The 12,644-nt window shown below is 57.5% G+C and overlaps 1 long non-coding RNA gene and 2 pseudogenes across 1 annotated transcript; 2 read left to right on the top strand and 1 right to left on the bottom strand.

Annotated features, from left to right (window-relative positions):
* Positions 3,813–5,730, bottom strand: CLUHP4 (clustered mitochondria homolog pseudogene 4; annotated as a pseudogene).
* Positions 7,236–10,598, top strand: DBET (D4Z4 binding element transcript). The gene has a single exon (NR_121644.1). It is a non-coding gene; the product is annotated as a D4Z4 binding element transcript (long non-coding RNA).
* Positions 10,669–11,953, top strand: DUX4L8 (double homeobox 4 like 8 (pseudogene); annotated as a pseudogene).

Genomic DNA, 12,644 nt, shown 5'->3' on the forward strand with positions numbered 1-12,644 from the left:
CAGGCCCTTCACCCACCCTGCCCCCACTGTGTGTTAGGCAGCTCGGGTTAAAATGGGAGAAAAATATATTCAGATTGTAGCCTCCAAGTTTTCCCATCTGGGCTGCAGAGAGTAGAGAAGGAAGTCGGGGCCTGTGGCGGTGCCTTTTGCTGTGCCTGAGGGCAGGAAGGCCAGGGCTGGGCACATGGATGTCTCCGGGACCACCACTGCTGACTCCCTCCCCTCACCTGAAGCTACAACCAGCCCAGGCTATCACGATTAATAAAACCACTGCAGCTCTCATCCTGTCACAAAACTAATGTGCACCCAACTGCAGCCCTACACAGATCCCTGGCTTCCTATCCCAGAACACAGAAAATCCTCTTATCTTTTTTACTTAAAACCTGGACTTTAAGCCAGATTGGGCCTGGGGATAGTGGCAGCAAAAGCAACAGCCAGATGTATACACTCCAGATGTATACACTCAAGGGCATGGGCACATTCCACACTTGCTGAAGAATGAGAGGCCTGAGAGACACCTGTTTCCCAGCTGCTAGCTGATGTCTACACACCCCATTCATGTGTCTTCATTTAGGCCTCTGCATCATGTATTTGTTCAGCCAGTGCAAACACATCTTCTGGGGGGCATCATTGATTGCAGCACCAGCCCCACTTGTTTCGGGAGGGAGTCAGGAGGAATCTGGTCAGCTCCTAATCCCCCAGGACAAAGGTGCTGCCCCCTTTTCAGCACTCACATCCAGCAGCACCATCTTGGGATGGTTTTTCAAACACAAGTAGCATGAGGTAGCAAGCATGGTGTGACAGGCTCAGGGCCATAGGCAGCCGGCTGCTGGAGAAGCAGCACAGGGCAGGCACATCTGTGGGTGGCACCCTGACAAGCCAAGGCAGCCACAGCCCCTACCCCCAACAGCCCCAGCCCAGATGGCCTTCAGATCTTCCCGGATAGTATTGGGGTTCCCAATGCCCATCACTCCCCTGCTTATTAGCACTGCCTTGTGTTGGTTACTCAGGGACTAAGGAGAGGGGGTGGGGGATGTAGATCCAGGGTGGGCACTGCCTCACAGCCAGAGTCCACCTGACTGCAGGCCAGCAAGCAAGCCCAGCAGCTCAGCTCTAGACACTTAGCCTCACCACCTCTGGCTACACTTCCTACGTATACTTTATGCAAAGGTAGAAAAAGAGGTCAGTATTAGCTGTTGTGACATAAAAGTCTATGCCCCATTAAGACCTTCTTAAAATGCTGTTGCCTTAAGCCCTCTTTCTTCTAATAAAATTTATACAAATACATACATACAAGCTGAAACTACTATAAATGAAATATTAGGATTTTTTAAACCCATAGACAAACACTAAAACAGTCACTGTTTGAATGCAAAAAAAGTGGGAGTCTAAAGCAGCTAACCCCAAAACAGCCTTACCAAGCCCAAGGCCAGGCCAGGCAGTCTGAACACTACAAGGTCACGTGATGGTCACAGAGGATGACAGCTCCCATGAGTATTCTCAGGCACTGTGTTAGCTTCTCACTCACAGAGTCTCAGAATGCCTCCTCACCAATACCCTGTGAGGGAAGGCCCCACCTCACTACAGCACGAGAGGTTCCTGAGCTCTTCCCAGAAAATGGTTATCAAAGGGTGGAGCTGGGGGAAGCCCAGACAGAACAAGTGAGTCCCCAGGGTCTCCTTAACCTCCCTCAGCTCCTCCACATGGGGCCCTGAGGGAAAGTGAGCGGCCTCCTAACCCCTTTGATAGGGTTCCAGTACTGCAGGTCTGGACCTCCTCATTTTCTGGAACCACAGGAGGCGACAATGCAAACCCAGGCCCCTTATTTGCCGTCCCTCAATGCCAGGCCAGGCCCAGAGCCCTGTGCTGACACAGCCCAGGGGATGCTCGAGGCCCACCTCAGCACAGTCACCAATAGCGTAGTGAGATGAGCAAGGAGGTGCAAGTAGGCACAAATCCCCATGGACATGGCCTCAGGCATGTTCCACAGGCTCAGGGTCTCCCTGATGAGCTCACAGCCCTCCTTCAGGGGTCCTGCAGAGCACACACCCAGGGAGCAGTGCTCAGATGAGCAGGCAGGCCCCAGATTCCCCACCCCAGGATGATCTGTTCCACTTTGCAGGGCTGCTGCATTGGCCAGTCCCCACTGCTTTCTGGTGGGATGTTTGAGTTGAAGTGAATGTTGAAGGGCATAGAGCTGATGGGGCTGACTGCCTTGCAGATGTTGTAAATCACCTCCTGGCTCCACGGGTCAGCTGTGGAGACACAGCTTGATGGGAGGTAGCCCCACTCCACCATCAGTGGTGCTGGGCTGCCCTGATCTGCACCTTCCAGCTCCTTGCTGAGATGTCTGCATGTTTCTCTAAGGGACTGGGTCACGAGACACCCCTGGCAAGGCCCAGCTGGCAGAATAGGCTGGACACTCTCCCTCAGCCTCCCCAGCAGCCCGGGCTGTGCTGTCACCTGTGCTGATGATCTCACTTCTCTATCTTAATAACAGCACTGATAACTTTTAAGCCCTAGCAAGCTGAAACTGCAAGACAAATGATCTTCTGCCTTAGAAGGGCTATGGCTGGGCAGTGTGTGCCCAGGTGAGAGCCCTGTGGTTGTTAGTGGAAGTAGGGAGCTGGATAGGCCTGGCCCCATAGCCTAGTGAAAACTAGGGCCCTCTCCTTCCAGAGCATCAAAGCATTAGAGGCTGGAAAAAGGTGCTTGTGTGGGCTGCCAAGAAGCAGAAGGCTAGAAGGCTTTGCAAGGAACCCCAACAGACTTCAAGGTGCCTGAGAGGGCTGGGCTTATTCCAGCTTTCTTTGCTTTCATTCTGTTAGCAAGAAAACCTGCTCACAGATGGCAGGTGGGCCTGAGGCTGCCAGTCACTCACCAGAGGCTATAGGTGCCTCGATTGTGGCTGTTTCTTGAAGCAGCTGCTCAGGCCGGTTATTGCAGAGCAGTTCCCTCATTATCCACAGGTCCTTGTTCCAGCCCCGGCTCTGCAAAGGGACTAGGGAGGGACTAGGCAAGGGCTCAGCCTGTGCCTCACAACCTGCTCTGAGATATCTCTTTTTGTTACTTCCTCATGGACAGCCTCAAACTTCCAAATGAACAGACCAGCATGGAGCCTCCAGGAAAGTGCATAGAATTCTATCTGGTACCCAGAGGGAAGGGGGTTCCCAGTGAGGGCAGGACCAGGCTTCATGCACCTCTTCAGGAATGTTCTCCTCATAGTCCAGCCTCAAGGTGTGCATCCTCTGTGTGCATGGAGTCCATGGCAGGCTCTGCCTGGGGAGCCGTCCAGCTGCACACCTGCAATGTGGTGGTGACCCTCATGAATGGGTGGTTCTGGGCCCCATGGCTGGCAGCAAAGAGGGAGATGTTCAGCCACCAAGCCCAGAGCCCTGCCACAGGCTTCTGTGAGGCCACCATCTTCTCTGGGTTCTTGCCCTGAGAGGCTGCCCTGAAGTCAAACAGAAGCACGTGGGCCTCTCTTCCAGGGCTGCTCTCTCCCCCACTGACAGCTCCCTAGAGGGGGACTCAGACAGTGGGGACAGATTCCTCAGGCATAAGCACTGGAGTTTAGGCTGGCCAGTTCATTCCATACGCCCACATGACATGACACAAGGCAGAGGCTGTGGGACAAAGGTATTGCCTTTTCTTCTGGCATGAGGAATGGCTTAGGAAGCAGGGGATGGTGGGGCTGGGGTTGAGTGATGGGCTGTGGGCCACAAGGAGTGGGTGGGCACTGAGCAAGTGTCCTGGTTGTCTGTCCATAGACGCAGAATGAGTGGCATCCCAGGAGCCTGTGAGGGGCTGGCAGAGACTTACTGGTTCCAGTAAAAGCCCCATGTGGATGCAGTAATGCTGCCTGCTGGTCCTTGGCTGTAATTACAAACAGGTACATGAGGTACCCATGCATCTTGAAGCTCTCAGGGAGTGGGTTCCAGCTGCTCATGGTAGGCACTTTTAGTCACTGAACATGCTTCAGGCATGTCCAAGCTTGATTAAGCCAGGCATCTTGCTGTGAGGCCCTCCACTTCACTAAGAACACTCTTCCTTGCTTCCCCTGGAAGTTGGACCTTCCAGTTCTGGTTCTGGAGACACGATGGCCCCTCCTGGACCCCTGGGAGAATGTGCTCAGGTGACACACAGTTGATGGGGCCATTTCCCAAGCCATTCTTCCATTTCCACTGTTTGAGGGACCCGAGGCCGGTGACAAGCACAGAGCCACCCAAGGCCAGCTGTCTGCACCTAAATGTGATGCTTGTCTGGATGTCTCAGGGCCAGAACCCTCCAGGTGAGATGGCCTGGTCCTCACCACCTGAGTGTCCGTGCTCCCTTTTCCTCTGTTCAATCCTGGCGCCAATGCCTCCCTCAACTCTCAGGTCACCATTGGAGAAGATGCTCAGGAAGAACAAGCAGCTGCAGTTAACCCTGCTGAAAGTGGCAGATGGGTCCAGGCTCTTGAGCTCGTCTTGGACATGGAACATGTGGATACAGGCTTTGAGCAGTGTGTGTAGCTCTTTCAGGAAGGAAGGGAAAAGGGTGTTACCCGGGTCCTACACCCTGGAACGACCCTTCTCAGACAGTAAATAGTTGGCAGGGTGCGGTCATGTGTGATTTTAGTTTTCAACTTTAGGCTTTCATTTTCAAATTCCACAATAAACACATAAGGTGGAGTTCTGGTTTCAGCACACACACACACACACACAAACACACACACACACACACACACAGTCTCTCTCTCTGTATGTCTCTTTCTGTCTCTCTCTCTCTCCTTCCTGCAAGGATCCTTGTTAACAAGAAACCTTCTGCCAAATGCCTCTGAAGCACAGGCAGGTCTTGGGGAGCCACAAGGCCACTTCCTCTTTGTGCACTAGTGTCTTGGGTAGGCATAGCTTTCAGAGCTCTGGGGCCTCCACAACCTTGCCCTGCTGTCCAGGGGCAGCCCTCATGCAGGGGTGTCCTAAGAACTTTTCAGGATGCACAAGTTCAGCACTGTCTTCCAATGTGTGTTTCACGATATTTTAATGGTGGTTCTTTTGGGAAAAAGGAAAGGTTCTGTGATCAATTATGGGACACATTGAGCTACAGATCTTTTTCACAATTGCTCTTAACAAGCAGGTAGACCCTGAGAACATGAGTAGCTTCCCCGCAGGTAACTTGAGTGCATGAGAACTTTTGCTTTACAACCATGCCAATCTCACCTCAGCAGTTGGCAGTGCTGCACGGGGCAGACTTCCCTACTCAAAGGCTGTGAAGCTTTTCTTTCTTTTTTTTTAAACATTATTTTTCTTTATAGAATTTTGTTGGGCTGATATCAAGCCTGGCTTGGTACTGCCTCATTTTTTTTGGAATCAGAACGCTGTTCTTTAACTCACGGGTTGTGAAGTTAGAAGGTGCTGGTGTGACAGCCTGACAAGCAGAGCGCAGCTCCAATCCCACCTTCATGCTCTCATCTGACGCAGAGCCCTCAGAGAAGTGGGGAAGTGCTTCCTGGCCCTGCTTCTGGGGGCCGTCCCCAAGGCAGTCCACCGAACTTCCAAAACAGCCTTCCCTCACACACAGCCCTGAGCCCTCCTGCCGCTCCTCAATGTTGCACATCTCTGAGAAGTGGTCCAGCATGTTGCTGTCCAGGGGCAGTGAGAAGCAGGTGCGGTGACACATGTCTTCACGGACCATGAGCACCGGGTAAATCTCCTGCACAATCTCCTTGGGGGACACCTTGAGGGAGAAAGCCCCAACAACTGATGGCATGCCACATGGCAGAAAGCAAAGACTTACCCTTTCCCCAGCCCAAAGTCCTGAGAATCATGCCAAAAATCCTTGGTTTCCCACTTTTTAAAAATTTTAAAATTAAAATCCCAGGTTCCGCGTATACATGCCATGCCCACCTGCACCTGTGTGTGTGTGTGTGTTTGTGCACGCAGGACAGAGCCTGGCCCATTGACTATTCCTGCAGACCAAGAAAAATCCCTATGCAGAGTAAGGGGAGATGGAAGAAATGAGGGAGAGAAAATGGCAGCCTTGCCTCCTCCCTTGCCCATTGCTAAGGTCCCCAGGGCAAATGGCTTTTGCCTTCAACTTCACCTTAACAACATACAAAATATATTCATTTTTACTTCCGTCACTTTCTTAACATTACAAATTGTATCTTTATATATGATTTGTATTTTCACAGAGATTTAAGAATTTAATGCACCATTATAGTAGAAAATTGTATATCTGTGTATATATTTACATTGAACAGAGAGCTTTATATTTTCATGTGGTTTTATGATGCTGTCCAGCATCATTTAATTTTTCAACATAATTAACTCTCTTTAGCATTTTTTTTCCTAGGGTTATTCTAGTAGTTAACAACCTCAGCTTTTTTATTTTAATCTTTGAAAGTCTTTATTTTTTTCTAATTTTGAAATACAGTATTTCCCAGATCAATTATTATTGGTTGCTAGTATTTTTTCTTTCATCGCTTTGAAATCTGGAAAGTTCTTAGCATCCCCGCTTTTTCTCTGAAATAATGTTTATGCCATTTTCTCCCTCTATTCTTTTTAAAAGACTCTATCTCTGAATGTATTGGTCTACTTGATGGTGTCCAGTAAGTCTTATATTTCACCCGTAATTTTCCCATTCTTTAAAATATTAGTTTCCAGGACTCAATATTTGTGAATAATATATGTTCAATTTTCTTTTTTCTGCTCCATTGTTCGCTGTTGTGTCTCTGTAGTGAATTTATAAAACTCAGTTATTATATTCTTCAACTCTATGATTTCTGTTGGGTTTTTAAAAATAGTTTTTATCTCTTTGTTGATATTTTGCTCATTCGTTATTTTTAAATTTCACTCAGTTGTCTCTTTCTGTTATAGTTTTGCTCACTGAGAATGCATAAGATGATTATTTTAAGTTCTCCATCAGATATGCAAAAAATCTTTATTTGTTAAAATTCAGTTTCTGAATATTTATGTTTTTCTTCCAATGGGGAATATTTTCTGCCTTCTCTGTGTGCCTTGTGATTTTTTTTTTTTAAAGAGATCTGGGGATCTATACAGCACTCATCAAATCTAGCATTTAAAGACTGGCTCAGTAAAGGGGGATACCGACAGCAATAGTCCAGGCTATAGATTCTAGGTGCTTCACAAACACATTCCCAAATATATTTTCTCTGGACTTCGCTGTGTTTCCAAGTTAAAGAGAATTTTTTCTCAATGTATTTTAGATTCTATTGTCTATTTTCTTCCCCAGTTGGCTGTCTGTGGTATTGCAGTTTCACTAGTGCTGTAGCAAACACTCATCTTTCTTCTCAGCAGACACAAACTGTCATCTATATGACTCCATCATGTCCTTCAGCACTCCACATCAGGAGAGAAAGAATCTAGTCATTAGACAATTTATCAAAAAGCCAAACATTTCAACACATATTCTACTGTTTTAATTCTCTCCTGAAGGAGATACTGGGAGTTGGGCATTTTCTCATTAGCCCAGTTACTGTTCTGGGTGAAAAAATAAACTGCAGTGGACAGGCTGTAAGCCAGACTTCATCAAATTTCTGCACCAATGAAAAAAAAATTTACAAGAGAAAAACAAAAAACCCTATTAAACGTCACGGACAAGGCCAGAGTTTGAATATACTGTGGTCATCTCTGCTCCAGTGCAAACTGTTTTCAGAAAGCCTACTTCTATTTTCCTTGCTGTAACAGAGGAACATTTCCTGTCTTATGCTTATTCTACTCTGCAATCCCCTAAGGCTTTTTCTCTCCCTCCCAGAATCTTAAAGTGCATTCGAACTCACAGGCAAAATCCTCCCAGAATCTTGTGAGAACATAAATGATCTGACTAGTTTGGCATTGCTTTTGGGGATCTGGGAAAATCTGTGCACACTTCTGGAGACCCTTGTCATGCCATTATTTATAAATCTATTGTGCCTCAAGTCAGAAGTGTGTGAGGGGAGATGGGGAGACATTGGGATGCGCGCGCCTGGGGCTCTCCCACAGGGGGCTTTCGTGAGCCAGGCAGCGAGGGCCGCCCCCGCGCTGCAGCCCAGCCAGGCCGCGCCGGCAGAGGGGATCTCCCAACCTGCCCCGGCGCGCGGGGATTTCGCCTACGCCGCCCCGGCTCCTCCGGAGCCGGGGCGCTCTCCCACCCTCAGGCTCCTCGGTGGCCTCCGCACCCGGGCAAAAGCCGGGAGGACCGGGACCCGCAGCGCGACGGCCTGCCGGGCCCCTGCGCGGTGGCACAGCCTGGGCCCGCTCAAGCGGGGCCGCAGGGCCAAGGGGTGCTTGCGCCACCCACGTCCCAGGGGAGTCCGTGGTGGGGCTGGGGCCGGGGTCCCCAGGTCGCCGGGGCGGCGTGGGAACCCCAAGCCGGGGCAGCTCCACCTCCCCAGCCCGCGCCCCCCGGACGCCTCCGCCTCCGCGCGGCAGGGGCAGATGCAAGGCATCCCGGCGCCCTCCCAGGCGCTCCAGGAGCCGGCGCCCTGGTCTGCACTCCCCTGCGGCCTGCTGCTGGATGAGCTCCTGGCGAGCCCGGAGTTTCTGCAGCAGGCGCAACCTCTCCTAGAAACGGAGGCCCCGGGGGAGCTGGAGGCCTCGGAAGAGGCGCCTCGCTGGAAGCACCCCTCAGCGAGGAAGAATACCGGGCTCTGCTGGAGGAGCTTTAGGACGCGGGGTTGGGACGGGGTCGGGTGGTTCGGGGCAGGGCGGTGGCCTCTCTTTCGCGGGGAACACCTGGCTGGCTACGGAGGGGCGTGTCTCCGCCCCGCCCCCTCCACCGGGCTGACCGGCCTGGGATTCCTGCCTTCTAGGTCCAGGCCGGTGAGAGACTCCACACCGCGGAGAACTGCCATTCTTTCCTGGGCATCCCGGGGATCCCAGAGCCGGCCCAGGTACCAGCAGGTGGGCCGCCTACTGCGCACGCGCGGGTTTGCGGGCAGCCGCCTGGGCTGTGGGAGCAGCCCGGGCAGAGCTCTCCTGCCTCTCCACCAGCCCACCCCGCCGCCTGACCGCCCCATCCCCACCCCCCACCCCCCACCCCCGGAAAACGCGTCGTCCCCTGGGCTGGGTGGAGACCCCCGTCCCGCGAAACACCGGGCCCCGCGCAGCGTCCGGGCCTGACACCGCTCCGGCGGCTCGCCTCCTCCCTGTCGCCCCCGGGCCACCGTCGCCCGCCGCCCGGGCCCCTGCAGCCGCCCAGCTGCCAGCACGGAGCGCCTGGCGGCGGAACGCAGACCCCAGGCCCGGCGCACACCGGGACGCTGAGCGTTCCAGGCGGGAGGGAAGGCGGGCAGAGATGGAGAGAGGAACGGGAGACCTAGAGGGGCGGAAGGATGGGCGGAGGGACGTTAGGAGGGAGGCAGGGAGGCAGGGAGGCAGGGAGGAACGGAGGGAGAGACAGAGCGACGCAGGGACTGGGGGCGGGCGGGAGGGAGCCGGGGACGGACGGGGGGAGGAAGGCAGGGAGGAAAAGCGGTCCTCGGCCTCCGGGAGTAGCGGGACCCCCGCCCTCCGGGAAAACGGTCAGCGTCCGGCGCGGGCTGAGGGCTGGGCCCACAGCCGCCGCGCCGGCCGGCGGGGCACCACCCATTCGCCCCGGTTCCGGGGCCCAGGGAGTGGGCGGTTTCCTCCGGGACAAAAGACCGGGACTCGGGTTGCCGTCGGGTTTTCACCCGCGCGGTTCACAGACCGCACATCCCCAGGCTGAGCCCTGCAACGCGGCGCGAGGCCGACAGACCCGGCCACGGAGGAGCCACACGCAGGACGACGGAGGCGTGATTTTGGTTTCCGCGTGGCTTTGCCCTCCGCAAGGCGGCCTGTTGCTCACGTCTCTCCGGCCCCCGAAAGGCTGGCCATGCCGACTGTTTGCTCCCGGAGCTCTGCGGGCACCCGGAAACATGCAGGGAAGGGTGCAAGCCCGGCATGGTGCCTTCGCTCTCCTTGCCAGGTTCCAAACCGGCCACACTGCAGACTCCCCCACGTTGCCGCACGCGGGAATCCATCGTCAGGCCATCACGCCGGGGAGGCATCTCCTCTCTGGGGTCTCGCTCTGGTCTTCTACGTGGAAATGAACGAGAGCCACACGCCTGCGTGTGCGAGACCGTCCCGGCAACGGCGACGCCCACAGGCATTGCCTCCTTCACGGAGAGAGGGCCTGGCACACTCAAGACTCCCACGGAGGTTCAGTTCCACACTCCCCTCCACCCTCCCAGGCTGGTTTCTCCCTGCTGCCGACGCGTGGGAGCCCAGAGAGCGGCTTCCCGTTCCCGCGGGATCCCTGGAGAGGTCCGGAGAGCCGGCCCCCGAAACGCGCCCCCCTCCCCCCTCCCCCCTCTCCCCCTTCCTCTTCGTCTCTCCGGCCCCACCACCACCACCGCCACCACGCCCTCCCCCCCCCCCCCCCCCCCCCACCACCACCACCCCGCCGGCCGGCCCCAGGCCTCGACGCCCTGGGTCCCTTCCGGGGTGGGGCGGGCTGTCCCAGGGGGGCTCACCGCCATTCATGAAGGGGTGGAGCCTGCCTGCCTGTGGGCCTTTACAAGGGCGGCTGGCTGGCTGGCTGGCTGTCCGGGCAGGCCTCCTGGCTGCACCTGCCGCAGTGCACAGTCCGGCTGAGGTGCACGGGAGCCCGCCGGCCTCTCTCTGCCCGCGTCCGTCCGTGAAATTCCGGCCGGGGCTCACCGCGATGGCCCTCCCGACACCCTCGGACAGCACCCTCCCCGCGGAAGCCCGGGGACGAGGACGGCGACGGAGACTCGTTTGGACCCCGAGCCAAAGCGAGGCCCTGCGAGCCTGCTTTGAGCGGAACCCGTACCCGGGCATCGCCACCAGAGAACGGCTGGCCCAGGCCATCGGCATTCCGGAGCCCAGGGTCCAGATTTGGTTTCAGAATGAGAGGTCACGCCAGCTGAGGCAGCACCGGCGGGAATCTCGGCCCTGGCCCGGGAGACGCGGCCCGCCAGAAGGCCGGCGAAAGCGGACCGCCGTCACCGGATCCCAGACCGCCCTGCTCCTCCGAGCCTTTGAGAAGGATCGCTTTCCAGGCATCGCCGCCCGGGAGGAGCTGGCCAGAGAGACGGGCCTCCCGGAGTCCAGGATTCAGATCTGGTTTCAGAATCGAAGGGCCAGGCACCCGGGACAGGGTGGCAGGGCGCCCGCGCAGGCAGGCGGCCTGTGCAGCGCGGCCCCCGGCGGGGGTCACCCTGCTCCCTCGTGGGTCGCCTTCGCCCACACCGGCGAGTGGGGAACGGGGCTTCCCGCACCCCACGTGCCCTGCGCGCCTGGGGCTCTCCCACAGGGGGCTTTCGTGAGCCAGGCAGCGAGGGCCGCCCCCGCGCTGCAGCCCAGCCAGGCCGCGACGGCAGAGGGGGTCTCCCAACCTGCCCCGGCGCGCGGGGATTTCGCCTACGCCGCCCCGGCTCCTCCGGACGGGGCGCTCTCCCACCCTCAGGCTCCTCGGTGGCCTCCGCACCCGGGCAAAAGCCGGGAGGACCGGGACCCGCAGCGCGACGGCCTGCCGGGCCCCTGCGCGGTGGCACAGCCTGGGCCCGCTCAAGCGGGGCCGCAGGGCCAAGGGGTGCTTGCGCCACCCACGTCCCAGGGGAGTCCGTGGTGGGGCTGGGGCCGGGGTCCCCAGGTCGCCGGGGCGGCGTGGGAACCCCAAGCCGGGGCAGCTCCACCTCCCCAGCCCGCGCCCCCGGACGCCTCCGCCTCCGCGCGGCAGGGGCAGATGCAAGGCATCCCGGCGCCCTCCCAGGCGCTCCAGGAGCCGGCGCCCTGGTCTGCACTCCCCTGCGGCCTGCTGCTGGATGAGCTCCTGGCGAGCCCGGAGTTTCTGCAGCAGGCGCAACCTCTCCTAGAAACGGAGGCCCCGGGGGAGCTGGAGGCCTCGGAAGAGGCCGCCTCGCTGGAAGCACCCCTCAGCGAGGAAGAATACCGGGCTCTGCTGGAGGAGCTTTAGGACGCGGGGTTGGGACGGGGTCGGGTGGTTCGGGGCAGGGCGGTGGCCTCTCTTTCGCGGGGAACACCTGGCTGGCTACGGAGGGGCGTGTCTCCGCCCCGCCCCCTCCACCGGGCTGACCGGCCTGGGATTCCTGCCTTCTAGGTCTAGGCCCGGTGAGAGACTCCACACCGCGGAGAACTGCCATTCTTTCCTGGGCATCCCGGGGATCCCAGAGCCGGCCCAGGTACCAGCAGGTGGGCCGCCTACTGCGCACGCGCGGGTTTGCGGGCAGCCGCCTGGGCTGTGGGAGCAGCCCGGGCAGAGCTCTCCTGCCTCTCCACCAGCCCACCCCGCCGCCTGACCGCCCCATCCCCACCCCCACCCCCCACCCCCGGAAAACGCGTCGTCCCCTGGGCTGGGTGGAGACCCCCGTCCCGCGAAACACCGGGCCCCGCGCAGCGTCCGGGCCTGACACCGCTCCGGCGGCTCGCCTCCTCTGCGCCCCCGCGCCACCGTCGCCCGCCCGCCCGGGCCCCTGCAGCCGCCCAGGTGCCAGCACGGAGCGCCTGGCGGCGGAACGCAGACCCCAGGCCCGGCGCACACCGGGGACGCTGAGCGTTCCAGGCGGGAGGGAAGGCGGGCAGAGATGGAGAGAGGAACGGGAGACCTAGAGGGGCGGAAGGATGGGCGGAGGGACGTTAGGAGGGAGGCAGGGAGGC

Source organism: Homo sapiens, chromosome 4 (assembly GCF_000001405.40).
Source record: "Homo sapiens chromosome 4, GRCh38.p14 Primary Assembly".
Classification (NCBI taxonomy): domain Eukaryota; kingdom Metazoa; phylum Chordata; class Mammalia; order Primates; family Hominidae; genus Homo; species Homo sapiens.